This window comes from Homo sapiens, chromosome X (assembly GCF_000001405.40).
Source record: "Homo sapiens chromosome X, GRCh38.p14 Primary Assembly".
NCBI classification, from domain to species: domain Eukaryota; kingdom Metazoa; phylum Chordata; class Mammalia; order Primates; family Hominidae; genus Homo; species Homo sapiens.
In genome coordinates this window covers 26,481,144-26,496,899 of record NC_000023.11, presented here as the reverse complement: position 1 = coordinate 26,496,899, position 15,756 = coordinate 26,481,144, and positions in this window count along the sequence as shown.

The window sequence follows — 15,756 nt, the reverse complement described above, 5'->3', positions numbered from 1 at the left end:
AAGTAGCTAGAGCTTCTGGCACGCACCACCTCACTTAGCTCCCTTTTGGATTTAATTGGTAAACCAATTTTGGATTTAAATTTAGATCCAAAAGGTAAACCCTTTGAATGTAATTGCAGATGGTTCTTGAAGGAAGCAGTTAGTAACCCGACATGCCACCATTTTGACTCAGAAATGTCCGTGACTGACATTCACAGTCCCAATCATGGTGATGGGGAGGGGACAGAGAATGAAGAGACAAAGAGGCAGGCAAAGGCACCAACCCACATGAAGTGAAGATTGCTGGCCAGCCAAAAAAAAAAAGAGTCACTCAGAAAAGGGATAAAAATTCACATTTTTCTCAGATGCTCCTCAGAAATATAACTCTAGCATAGGTCTGAACTTAAGGACCTTTTTTAAAAAATTATTTATTTACCTTAAAAAAAAGGCAAGAGAGGCATAATAAGAAGACACTGGCTGAGGATCCTCAGGAATTCTTTTTTATATTCAATATAATATAAACCATTACCATTATTATTCTTTCTGATGTTCAATTTGTCCCAATTTGACCAGTGGGAGCTCTGTCAAGGCAACTCTTGTCCCCCTTTGGTGTGTCCTAATATGAGTATTTTAAATGTTAATGTAAAACATTATTTATTGAAACATTATAACAGATTTTATTATTCCAGCAGAAAAAAGTCTGTTCCTTTGATATTGCCAATGAAAACTTAGAAATAATAAATGTAATCATCTTTCTCCATTTAATTCAACAAAATGAGTAGTGTAAAAAAATGATTTAGTCACTTCATGCATGATGAACTATTAACAACAAACCAAACATCAAACACCTGTGTCTCAGCTGTTCTCAGCTGCATCTGTGTCATTGGTGGTCATTCTGAAAAAAACTGCAACTTTCTAATGAGAGTTAATTATAAAGAGGAAAATTTTCACGGAGCTCTCAGGAAGGTTACTAATGTTCTTGGATGGTGTGTGATGGGTAACAATGATTTATCATTCTACATAGTTGCTGATAAAGCAATACTCAGTGAAGTCTTAACAATTTGTTATCCTTGATGTACAGTATATTATTATTATTTTTTAGTTGGCCATATCATTCATAGCTGAGAAACAGGACACAGCATCTATCAGGCAGAAAGCTTATTTAAAATTGCTACTGCATGCAGTAGTGTATATTTAATCTTTGATTTTCTGTGACTACTGAAGTTAGCTATTTCACCATTTCTGTGTTGAGCGTAAATGCTAGTCTTTTTGAGTGTTTGTTTCCTGGTATTTTGTATAATTATTTAAAATTAATGTTTACCCCTTGGTCTTAGCTACATAAAATTATTTTGTCATCTGAGTATGACTTTCACAAGGAAACACATGATTTTCTTAGTTCCAGCTCCATATGTAGCACTAATAGATATTCAGTAAATATTTGTATAAGGAAACAGATGAAGAATTTAAGAAAGGGAAGAAGATGGAACAGTGTGTGATAGTGTCTAATAAAGATGTACCTTATGTTCTTGGCTGACCTTTACTGGTAGCCAAGCCTCAATCCTTCATTCCTTTGTTGCAAAACCTTACCCTAGGTAAGCTAAAATAGGTAATCAAACAGATGTGGTGGGAGATGTAGAAAAGCCATACAAGACTTTCATTCAAGGTAAAAGGGAAGGAGTCAAGGTAAAGGCTAAGTGAGAAATAACTCTATTGTGAGCATCTAACTTAAAGAGTACCATAGTCATACATATTAAGTATACCAATTCAAAATTAGGGGTTCGCTGTGGTGAAACAGCATTTACAAAATACTGAAGTTCTGAAGCCAGAGATATTTTTCATGAACACTGCTGTCCTGATTTGGTTTTCTTCCTTTGGCTGAAGATGTATCCCTGCTGAGTCTGAATTTGGTGTAGAAATCCAGAAAGCTTAGAGTTTATAGTCGTTCTCCTGGACATAATCACTTGGATTATCAGAGTAAGTTCTTCCAAAACAATGAGGAAACCCTTTATATAAAAATATTAAAAAGCACTTTGACAGAATTAGGCCTTTTCTCAACCTCAGTAAGGCCATAATTATCCAGACATTATCCCAGATGCTCCTGTAGGGAAGGAGAAAAGAAAGCTTATGCTACTGTTGCTGCTGTCAATCTAGGTTGCTGACTTGTTCTTGTTAAAAAAAAAAAAAAAAAATTAGGAGCTCACATCATGTTTCTTCCTTACCTGTAATCCTACGAGTGGTTTCTTGATAAGGTTCCAATTTAATTTAGGAGCAATATCCACTCATAGCTATTGTATCTTATTGACTGAAATTATTTCATAGCACTCATCATTACCTGAATGATTAATTATAAACAATGTACATTCATTTGATAATTTAATGATTGGTCTCATCTTCCATTAGAATACAGGTTCCATGAAGGCAAGAACTTTGTCTTGTATACGATTGTGTCACTAACCCCAGGAAATTTAGCCTGGTGTGAAGTAGATGGTTATTGTTGAATGAAATACTGCTATTTACCTGATTTATGGGCTAAAAAGCATATGGACTCTGTCCTGTTCTTTACTCCATCCATTTACCTGAAGCAGAGTACAACATTCTCCTCGCGGAAAAAGGCAACAAAGATTTATTTGGGGCATCCTTATGGGGATGAATGATGAATTGGGGGTAAAGTGAGATATTTGCCATGGTAACTGAATTCTCTGTCTTTATTCTGAGCATCTTACCTCTTGCTCTATATTCTTAACCTCAAACTTCAATTTTTTAAATGAACTGAAATATACCAGTTTTGGCTTCCCTTCTCTATTATTCTTCATTGTTATTTTGCTCTTCTGTGTATATGTGGGAGAGGAAAGAGCGTTGGATTTCCACTTTGCAGCACTCAACATTTGCTTGGATCAAGAGATGGCTTACTCCATGTGAAATGCAAGTCATTTTTATAGGCCAATTGAAGAAACATTTTTTTCTGCTGAGTATCCTGCTGAAAGATTTGTATAGAATTCAGTTTATTTCCATTATTACAGCCCTCAACCTATTCATAATTGGATATCTTCTATAGTCCTGTTATTTCTAACTAGCAGGTAATTCATCCTAGCAATTTAGTCAGCAATAGTAGATATGGCTCTAAGATGTGAACCACAGAGAAAGATAATTCAAATTGTAAAAGAGAGAAAACCCCCTTTAGAAGTTCCATCCTCCAAAGTAAGAGATGAAAATGCTTCTAGACTTTAAACTCTGGATTTTCTCCAATAAATTAATCAAGCTCTTCTGATTTCCAACACTGCCTCACTTAGGATTACACCTAGTTATGTATTTACCCAACTTGAGTTTCATAAATAACTACCTGTGCCTTTGTAAAAATTCCTAATATAAGAATTCCAAAGAAATGGATCTAAACACGAGTGTTAGGGCTTTTGATAGAAGGGAACCTGAAGTGAAAAGTGAGCACAAGATTGCATTTCATAATCTAGCAAAAGGAAAAAGTAAAGGCACAAGAAAGAGTACTAAATAGGAAAAGAAAATCTTCATAATGTCCTTGATGATGTTACTATTATAAATAATTTCAACATCCAAAGCCCTTCATTATCTTAAAATCAAATTATGATGATAATTTTTCAGTAATGTACTCATTGTTCTGGCTATACATTGAATCATGCTTAATATGCATATTTATGCTTACGTGCATTTGCTAATAATGTTCCGTCTACCTGGAATTCTTTTCTCTGTCTCTTTCTCCATCTAGTAAAATCATCTTAATATCTTCAGCTTATATAAAGTATATGGTATCGTCTCATGTATAGATATGAAAACAAAAGTTAATAAAGTTTAATTTGATTTAATTTACCAATTTAATAGCAATTGGCACTAAGTCTACACTGGCATAAAATAAAATGTTTGACTTAAACATATTTCTGGATAGAGAAGCTATGGTCAAGGAAATGTGAATTATAATTTATTTATGGATCCCTCTTTCGCTTAACTTTGCTCTACGTCAGATTTTGTGGTGAACATTAAAAGAATGATGAGGACACTGGTGATTATCTCTCCTATTTAACAATAGGAAAAATTATCAGCTCTTGGGGCTTAGAAAAGCTCATTCCAGAAGTCATACTCTGAGCCCTATGTAGCCTGTCTGGAATCCTCTGTTTTGCCTTTAGCTTATCAACCAGCTAACCCACCTACCTATATTATTCTCTGCTCTTTGTCCATTGTCCTGTTTTATCTGTCAAATAGCTAACAAAAATCAGAATAAATTGTGCCCAGGAATGCGCCACAACTCAAGCATGCCCAAGAATTTCACGTAGTCCAGAACTCCTGGGGAAAAAATCCAAATAAAAGCAAATTGACAACCATGCAAGATAATGACAATAGTAATGATACTAACAACAACAATGACAAACAATAAAAAATGCTGTTTTGGTTACTGTAGCCTTGTAGTATAGTTTGAAGTCAGGGAGCGTGATGCCTCCAGCTTTGTTCTTTTGGCTTAGGATTGACTTGGCAATGTGGGCTCTTTTTTGGTTCCATATGAACTTTAAAGTAGTTTTTTCCAATTCTGTAAAGAAAGTCATTTGGTAGCTTGATGGGGATGGCATTGAATCTATAAATTACCTTGGGCAGTATGGCCATTTTCACGATATTGAGTCTTCCTACCCATGAGCATGGAATGTTCTTCCATTTGTTTGTATCCTCTTTTATTTCATTGAGCGGTGGTTTGTAGTTCTCCTTGAAGAGGTCCTTCACATCCCTTGTAAGTTGGATTCCTAGGTATTTTATTCTCTTTGAAGCAATTGTGAGTGGGAGTACACTCATGATTTGGCTCTCTGTTTGTCTGTTATTGGTGTATAAGAATACTTGTGATTTTTGTACATTGATTTTGTATCCTGAGACTTTGCTAAAGTTGCTTATCAGCTTGAGATTTTGGGCTGAGATGATGAGGTTTTCTAGATACACAATCATGTCATCTGCAAACAGGGACAATATGACTTCCTCTTTTCCTAATTGAATACCCTTTATTTCCTTCTCCTGCCTAATTGCCCTGGCCGGAATTTCCAACACTAGTTGAATAGGAGTGGTGAGAGAGGGCATCCCTGTCTTGTGCCAGTTTTCAAAGGGAATGCTTCCAGTTTTTGCCCATTCAGTATGATATTGGCTGTGGGTTTGACATAGATAGCTCTTATTATTTTGAGATACGTCCCATCAATACCTAATTTATTGAGAGTTTTTAGCATGAAGGTTGTTGAATTTTGTCAAAGGCCTTTTCTGCATCTATTGAGATAACCATGTGGTTTTTGTCTTTGGTTCTGTTTATATGCTGGATTACATTTATTGATTTGTGTATATTGAACCAGCCTTGCATCCCAGGGATGAAGCCCACTTGATCATGGTGGATAAGCTTTTTGATGTGCTGCTGGATTTGGTTTGCCACTATTTTATTGAGGAGTTTTGCATCAATGTTCATCAAGGATATTGGTCTAAAATTCTCTTTTTTGGTTGTGTCTCTGCCTGGCTTTGGTATCAGGATGATGCTGGCCTCATAAAATGAGTTAGGGAGGATTCCCTCTTTTTCTATTGATTGGAATAGTTTCAGAAGGAATGGTACGGGTTCCTCCTTGTACCTCTGGTAGAATTCGGCTGTGAATCCATCTGGTCCTGGACTCTTTTTGGTTGGTAAGCTATTGATTATTGCCACAATTTCAAAGCCTGTTATTCATCTATTCAGAGAGTCAACTTCTTCCTGGTTTAGTCTTGGGAGGGTGTATGTAACCAAAACAGCACGGTACTGGTACCAAAACAGAGATATAGATCAATGGAACAGAACAGAGCCCTCAGAAATAACGCCGCATATCTACAACTATCTGATCTTTGACAAACCTGAGAAAAACAAGAAATGGGGAAAGGATTCCCTATTTAATAAATGGTGCTGGGAAAACTGGCTAGCCATACGTAGAAAGCTGAAACTGGATCCCTTCCTTACACCTTATACAAAAATTAGTTCAAGATGGATTAAAGACTTAAACATTAGACCTAAAACCATAAAAACCCTAGAAGAAAACCTAGGCATTACCATTCAGGACATAGGCATGGGAAAGGACTTCATGACTAAAACACCAAAAGCAATGGCAACCAAAGCCAAAATTGAAAAATGGGATCTAATTAAACTAAAGAGCTTCTGCACAGCAAAAGAAACTACCATCAGATTGAACAGGCAACCTACAAAATGGGAGAAAATTTTCACAACCTACTCATCTGACAAAGAGCTAATATCCAGAATCTACAATGAACTCAAACAAATTTACAAGAGAAAAACAAACAACCGCATCAAAAAGTGGGCAAAGGACATGAACAGACACTTCTCAAAAGAAGACATTTATGCAACCAAAAAACACATGAAAAAATGCTCACCATCACTGGCCATCAGAGAAATGCAAATCAAAACTACAATGAGATACCATCTCACACCAGTTAGAATGGCAATCATTAAAAAGTCAGGAAACAACAGGTGCTGGAGAGGATGTGGAGAAATAGGAACACTTTTACACTGTTGGTGGGACTGTAAACTAGTTTAACCCTTGTGGAAGTCAGTGTGGCGATTCCTCAGGGATCTAGAACTAGAAATACCATTTGACCCAGCCATCCCATTACTGGGTATATACCCAAAGGACTATAAATCATGCTGCTGTAAAGACACATGCACACATTTGTTTATTGCAGCACTATTCACAATAGCAAAGACTTGGAACCAACCCAAATGTCCAACAATGATAGACTGGATTAAGAAAATGTGGCACATATACACCATGGAATACTATGCAGCCATAAAAAATGATGATTTCTCACTCATAGGTGGGAATTGAACAATGAGAACACATGGACACAGCAAGGGGAACATCACACTCTGGGGACTGTTGTGGGGTGGGGGCAGGGGGGAGGGATAGCTTTAGGGGATATACCTAATGCTAAATGACGAGTTAATGGGTGCAGCACACCAGCATGGCACATGTATACATATGTAACTAACCTGCACATTGTGCACATGTACCCTAAAACTTAAAGTATAATAATAATAAAATAAAAAAAGAAGAAAAAAAACAATAAAAAATACTAAAGTGAAGGCAGAACATGTTTTCCCTAGTTATAATGTTTTCATTCTTCACATTTCTATTTGTTCTTGAAGAAAACTATCTTTGAGTTCTATTTGTACATTTTGGGGATAACATCTTTTCTTAACATGATGAACCAAGCATAATTAGAAAAAGTAAAACCCACATAATGACTTCAAAATAAAGAGAAATTAGAGCTTGTCATTTTAAGCAATGACTTTATTTTTAAGCACAAATGGCAGTGTATAAATAAATAATAGTTATGACAAGATGAAACAGTGAGTTTAAACAAAGATGGGCACACCACCCAAATAGAGTTTCATCGAGGAAAAATGTAGCTGTAGCTAAATTAATCAACATTTACCTTATTTATTCTAAAGCAATCTTGTGTTCTGTTTTTTTCCATCTAGAGCTAGATTTATGCTTTTGTTTCCTATTGACAAAGATTGACTAAATATTGCCCAAGTGTAATTTTCCTGTAGCATTAATTATAAATGTCTTGCTGGAATAATGTGAAAGCAGAAACTCATTTGGAAAGCTGATCACCTAGACTGCATACTAATAAATTTAAACCAACAGATGAGAAACTCACCCCTTTCTCACAAATAAAAATATCTTTCTTGGTTCAACTGAGTTCACATATCACAAATCCACAGTCTAGCACTTAATTTCCATAATACATTAATATTATTAATATGTATTAAATGCATTTAAACTCTGTTACAAACCATGCTAGGCTCTAGAGTACATCACATCCACATCAAAACTGTTAAACAAATTGTGATTCTATAATTCAGATAAGATACTCATCTGCTTGATGTACAGTATTTAATTAAATCTTAAGTAGAAAAAAGAAGATGGAGAGGATAGACACATACATATGCTCGCATATGTATGAGTGCAAGTAAAACTGGGGAAAACTGAAGATCCTTGTATTGTATTACTGCCAGTTTTCTGGTTGTGATATTCTGTGATTGCTTGCAAGACGTTACTTACCGTTGGGGGAAACTGGGTGAAGGATGCACAGGCTCTTTCTGTATTTTTTCTTACAACTACATGTGACTGTAAAATTGTCTCAAAATAAAAAGTTTACTGAAAATATGTGAGAAAAAATATCTTGTATTTGGCAGAGAGAAAAAGGGAGCTTTGGGAAATGGGAGTTAAAGAGGATCAAAATAGAAGGACTTAAAATCACTGACATATTAGGGCTGCATTCAAATGTCAAGAATGCTTATTCAAAGTAGATAGTTTAGAAGGTCCTATAAAATTTTATTTGACTCCGGCATGAAGCTTCCCTGGCTAAAGTCAACAGCTTCAACAGCTTATGTAATTTTACTTTCAGGAATGTTCCTATGGATTTCCTGGTTTTGTTTTGTTTTGTTTTGTTACTTAAGCTGTAATAAGGTCAGTTCCAACATAAGCTTATCCTAAATCATCCTTGTTGCTTTCAGCTTCAATGGCCATGACAGGAGGTAGAAATTAGCAATGTATATAACTGAGAAAAATGTGAAAGACTTATCTAATCTGTTGGTTGTATCTTTTCTATTCATGTTGATAGTTTTGAAATTTATAAGTAAGAAAATTTATAAATTTTATATAGATGTACATTGTCTCTAAAATCATCTATGATTTTAATGTAACTTCAATTAAAGATACCAAGATTATTATGGAAAAGTCTCACCAAAATTAATATTTTTGCTTTTGCAAAAAGGGGAGGTTTATTTTTTAAACATTTCAGATTCATGGGGTACCTATGATCCTATCACTGAAGTAGTGAACATAGTACCCAATAAGTAGTTTTTCAACCCTTGTCTCCATCTCTCCCTCCCTCCTTTTGAAATCCCATGTTTATTGTTCCCATATTTGTGTTTGTGGTGTTTAGCTCCCAGTTTTTTTTTGTTTTTTTTTTTTTGAGATGGAGTTTTGCTCTTATTGCCCAGGCTGGAGTGCAATGGCACGATCTCCGGCTCACTGCAACCTCTGCGTCCCGGGTTCAAGTGATTATCCTGCCTCAGCCTCCCGAGTAGCTGGGATTACAGGCATGTGCCACCACACTCAGCTAATTTTGTATTTTTAGTAGAGACAGGGTTTCTCCATGTTGGTCAGGGTGGTCTTGAACTCCCGACCTCGGGTGATCCACCCGCCTCAACCTCTCAAAGTGCTGGGATTACAGGTGTGAGCTGCCGTGCCCAGCCTTAGCTCCCACTTATAAGTGAGAACATACACTAGTTGGTCTTCTGTTCCTGTGTTAATTCACCTAGGATAATGGCCTGCAGCTCTATTCATAGTGCTGCAAAGGACATAATTCATTATTTTTTTGTGGCTGTGTAGTATTCTATGATGTATATGTGTCACATTTTCTTTATCCAATCCACCACTGATGGGCACTTAAGTTGATTCCATGTCTTTGGTATTGTGAATAGTGTTGCAATAAACATACAAGTGCAGGTGTCTTTTTGGTAGAATGATTTATTTTCCTTTGGGTATATACCTAGTAATTGGATTGCTGGGTTGAATGGTAGTTCTATTTTTAGTTCCTTGAGAACTCTCCAAACCATTTTCCACAGGGGCTGAACTAATTTACTGTATTAGTCCATTTTCAAGCTGCTATAAAGAATATCTGAGACTGGGTAATTTATAAACAAAAGAGGTTTAATTGACTCACAGTTCTTCATGGCTGGGGAGGCCTCAGGAAATTTACAATCATGGCAGAAGGTAAAATGGCAAAGGAGCCAGCTGGTTCCCATACTTGTTTTATTAAAAGTATTTACTAAATATCATATCCCACCAAAGAAATAATATCACACACACAGATATACGCAGAAATGCAAACACACAGAAAACTATGAAAAATGGCAGAAAATGTAATAAAATGACTTCTTGGTGTCAAGTAGAAAAATCAGATGTTTGTAGATTTTGGTTGTTAACTGAATGTGTGTGTTTCATATACAAGCAAACATGAGAACTTAAGTATACATGCCAAACCAGACTTAAAATTTTGTTCCATTTTTCTAACAATACTAGGAATCCTAATATTACATATTGACTAATGATACTCACTGTTTTGCTTCCTTTCATGTTTGTTTTACTCAAAATGCCCCTATTTAGCCCCTGGCCTAAAGGCTGGTACCTGAGACACTGGGTAAGAAGAGCCTGATGTCTTCCAGCCTGTGCACAAAAACCCTGATGTCTTGTACCTCCTGATACTCAGTTGTTCTCATCTCTACAGAATGGATCTATGAAAGAAATACAAATCTGAAACTTTCAGAAGGAAATTTTTTTTCCTCTGAATACACACACACATACAAACACACACTATACACTACACAAAACAAATATATTCTACTACAAGTATACTACACAAGTATAGTATACAATTATACTATATATTACACAAATTGTGTTTGTATAGTATACATACAGTACACAAACACAAATACACACATATCTTCTTTACATGTTTATATATAATTATTTACAAGTACATTCTATAATATATAATAGTATCTATTATATCTTCTTGATATATTTAAAAGTATTCATTTGCAAAAGTTATACATAACTTATGGAAAGACTAGAAATGGAATGACTAAATTCAATATGAGTAAAGCAATGAAAAAAGTCTAATAAAAGTAAGGAATGTAGAAAACTAAAATGATACAATGGAAGGCCAAAAATAGAGGAAAAATAAGAATATGTTCTTTATTATAAATAAATAAGAAATATGGCAGAAATAACAATAAGCATATAGATAAACAAAAGAATAACAGTATTATCATACTGTTTTGCTTTCTTTCATGTTCCTTTCACCCAAAATATCCTTACTGAGACCCTCGGTTAAAGAATGAGGTCTGGGAATTAGGAAGAACTTGATAGCTTGCCCAGATGCCTTAATAAAATGAATAGTCAGACCTTAATATTTGATAAAATAATAACAATTAAAAACTTTTAACACACCATTTTAAAAAATTTTAAAGTAAATAGATGTTTTTTATTTGCTCTCTTTTATTAAATCTAGATGATCTAATTCTATAGAATCCATGATTAACTTTTATTTTTCACTCCGGTTGCTGCTCACATGTATCTTTCAGAAAGTGGCTTTTCCTGGCCTTCTCATTTCTTTTTTCTTTTCTTTTCTTTTTTTTTTTTTTTTTTTTGTCACCCAGGCTGGAATGCAGTGGCATGATCTCGGCTCACTGCAAGCTCCATCTCCTGGGTTCATGCCATTTTCCTGCCTCAGCCTCCCGAGAAGCTGGGACTACAGGTGCCTGCTACCAAGCCCGGCTAATTTCTTTTGTATTTTTAATAGAGATGGGGTTTCACCGTGTTAGCCAGGATGGTCTCGATCTCCTGACCTCGTGATCCACCCACCTCGGCCCCTCAGAGTGCTGGGATTACAGGCGTGAGCCACTGTGCCCAGCCTTGGCCTTCTCATTTCTATTGCACTTCCCCTCAATTTCTTTCCCATGCTTTATCTTTAGGATCTCAATAGCACTTGGCTATTATGTGTTTATTAATTTGTATATTCTTTGTCTTTCCCACTGGTTTGCAGTCTCCAGAATGCAGTGCTTAATCTGGCTCCTGGGGAGGGAGGGATGGCAGCTCTCTTCTGAGAAACAAAAAAAGCAGGCAATAAAATCATTCTAGGTCCTCTCTAATCCAGTGATTCATCTCCACAGGGGGTCCCATACACTTTAATTAGTCTTTGCTGAGGGATTTTTAAGTGCCAATATCCCATTCCTACCTCCAAGCTAAAATAAAAAGGATCCAGATTTAGAATACCAGATTCTCTTCTAGAAGCTGTCTAGACTATACATTTATGTGTAGAGTACATTTTGCCTTCAAATGGGATGGAGGCATCCCTGCTATGGTATAAGGGGGTAGGAACCTCTGCTTGATACAAGGTCAGGGAAGGCTGACCTGTTTATCTTTTGCAGACAATTTTTCCTATCACTCAATTTGTACCCTTCATCCAAGCCCTGCTGTATGAATCCCCTTCCACTATTGGCAATTTCTGTGTACTCTGAACCTTTGTGCTCCCCAGAAATGCTTATTAATTAATATGATCCCATATGCTTCCTCCCTTCCAGAAATTTATGACATCCCTGCTTTCCTTCCCATTTGTCACTTTTATAAATCTATAACAATTTTTAGCTTTTTTGAAGTATATTTTATATAAAAAATGCACTAAAATATGTTAAGAGGACAGATTTTATGTTGTATTCTTACACACACACACACACACACACCTCATGCTGCTAATAAAGACATACCCGAGACTGGGTGATTTATAAAGAAAAAGAAATGTAATAGACTCACAGTTTCACATGGCTGGGGAGGCCTCACAATCATGGCAGAAAGCGAAGGAGGAGCAAAGACACATCTTAGATGGCAGCAGGCAAGCGCATCTGCAGGGAACTCCCCTTTATAAAACCATCAGATCTCATGAGACTTATTCACTATCATGAGAACAGCATGGGAAAAACCCACCCCCATGATTCAATTACCTCCCACCGGGTCCCTCCCATGACACATAGGGATTATTACAATTCAAGGTGAGATTTGGGTGGGGACACACAGCCAAACCATATTATTCCACCCCTGGCCTCTCCCAAATCTCATGTCGTCACATTTCAAAACCAGACATACCTTCCCAACAGTCCCCCAAAGTCTTAACTCATTTCAGCATTAACTCAAAAGTCCACAATCCAAAGTTTCATCTGAGATAAGGCATGTCCCTTCTGCCTATGAACCTGTAAAGTCAAAAGCAAGTTAGTTATTTCCTAGATACAATGGGAGTACAGGTATTGGGTAAATACACCAGTGACAAATGGGAGAAAATGGCCAAAATGAAGGCACTACAGGGCCCATGCAAGTACAAAATCCAATAGGGCAGTCATTAAACCTTAAATTTACAAAATGATCTCCTTTAACTCCATGTCTTATATCCAAGTCATACTGATGCAAGAGGTGGGCTCCCATGGCCTTGGGAAGCTCTGCCCCTGTGGCTTTGCAGGGTACAGCCTCCCTCCTGGCTGCTTTCATGGGCTGGCATTGAGTGGCTGTGGCTTTTCCAGGTGCATGGTGCAAGCTGCCCATGGATCTACCATTCTGGGTTCTGGAGGATGGTGGCCCTCTTCCCACAGCTCCACTAGGCAGTGTCCCAGTGGGGGCTCTGTGTGGGGGCTCCAACCCCACATTTCCCTTCTGTACTGCCCTAGCAAAGGTTCTCCATGAGGGCCCTGCCCTGGTAGCAATCTTCAGCCTGAACATCCAGGCATTTCTAATCATCTCCTGAAATCTAGGCAGAGGTTCCCAAACCTCAATTCTTGACTTCTGTGCACCTACAGAGTCAACACCATGTGGAAGTTGCCAAGGCTTGGGGCTTGCACCCTCTGAAGCTACAGCCCAAGCTGTACCATGGCCCCATTTAGCCATGGCTGGAGCTGCTGGGATGCAGGGCACCAAGCCCCTAGGCTGCACACAACAAGGAAGTCCTGGAACCGGCCCAGGAAACCAATTTTTTCCTCCTAGGCCTCTGGCCCTGTGAAAGAAGGGGCTGCTGCAAAGGTCTCTGACATGCCCTTGAGACATTTTTCCCATTGTCATCATAATTAGCATTTGACTCCTTGCTACTTATGCAAATTTCTGTAGTTGGCTTGAATTTCTTTCCAGAAAATGGGTTTTTCTTTTCTATTGCATCCTTAGGTTCCCAATTTTCTTATGCTCTGCTTTCTCTTGAATGCTTTGCCACTTAGAAAATTTTTCCCCCAGATACCCTAAATCATATCTCTCAAGTTCAAAGTTCCACAGATCTCTGGGATAGGGGCAAAATGCCACCAGTCTCTGCATAGCAAGAGCGACCTTTACTCCAGTTTCCAACAAGTTCCTCATCTCCATCTGAGACCAACTCAGCCTGGAACTTATTGTCCATATCACTGTCAGCATTTTGGTCAAAGCCATTCAACAAGTCTCTAAGAAGTTCCAAACTTTCCCACATCTTCCTGTCTTCTTCTGAGCCCTCAAAGTCTCTAGGAAGTCCCAAAGTTTCTCACATTTTCCTATCTTCTTTTGAGTTCTCCAAACTGTTTCAACCTCTGCCTGTTACCCAGTTCCAAAGTCACTTCCACATTTATAGCAGCAACCCACTACCTGGTACCAATTTACTGTATTAGTCTGTTCTCATGCCACTATTAAAGACATACCAAAGCTGGGTAATTTATAAAGAAAAAGAGGTTTAATGGACTCACAGTTTCACATGGCTAGGGAGGCCTCACAATCATGGTGGAAAGTTCAGGAGGAGCAAAGGCACATCTTACATGGTGGCAGGCAAGAACATGTGCACGACACTCCCCTTTATAAAACCATCAGATTTCATGAGACTGATTCACTATCACAAGAACATCACAGGAAAAAACTACCCCCATGATTCAATTACCTCCCACTGGGTCCCTCCCATGACACATGGGGATTATTACAATTCAGCATGAAATTTGGGTAGGGACAAATGGCTAAATCATATCACACACACATGCACATACCACAAGAGAGAACAAGAAAATTTCAGAATCTACAACTTATGTATATCTTCTATCTATATGTATTTTCCATCATTTTTTGTAACTTCTACTGTACCAGGTTGTATACTTTGTTTTTTTTTATTGTTTGTTTGTTTTGACAAGGAGGTGAAGCAAGTTCATGCACTTGTCCACCATCTTAAATAGAAAGTCTCTTGCAATAAAAAAGGTTCTTCTTATTTATAAATATATATTTTATACTTTTGCACATCTTTGGTTTCTCTCATTTTATCCTAGACTGGCAAAGAATGCATTCTACTACTAATTCAAAATTCATCTTATAGTTTCCTGCTTTTGTCTTTGTTAATTTGATTTCTGAGATTCTTTTGTATATCTGAAATAATTTTTATTAATTTTTAGAGTTAAATGCATTATTAAATTATTGCCATTTTACTGTTCAGTAATGAAAACATTTAGATACATTAAGTATTATTTAAAGTTTATTATACATGTAGCTCTGTGACATTACTTCAGACATGTAACAGTGTCATTGTCTTTACTTACCAAGGAGTCTAACATTTTACATTTTTCCTAATTTTCCAAAGTATTATTTGGTTACTTCTTTCACACTGTTTTTCTTCAAAGTATATGATGGCTTAATTCAATTTGTTAGTATTGAATTTTATTCTTGTACATTATGAACATTTTCCCTGAGAAATTACATTTTTTATCATATTTAGTGAACACATTTTCAACATATATCTAAACTTAGTTCTATTTATGAATGGTTTTAAAACCAGCCAAATTTTCTTTTAAAATTAATTTTCTTTTTTATTGTTTTTATACTGACTTATCTCTTAGAAATGTTTTTGTTTTTCTCAAGAGAAATTTATGATGGTATTATGTTTTCTGATCTTTTTCCTATCTGAGATTATAAAACTTTTATGAGTTTTAATTTTGTGGTCACATTCTCCCCTCAAACATGATAGAAGTCAGAGATGGAGACACGAAATTGGAAGTCATCATCATGATGAGACCATGTATGCAGTTGAAATTTTATGTAACGTGTAAGTACTGAGAGACTAGAATAAGGCTGAAAGATGAAACCATAAGAAACAACTTTTAAGAAGTTGAAAGAAAAGCATGATCCTTGGAAGGTA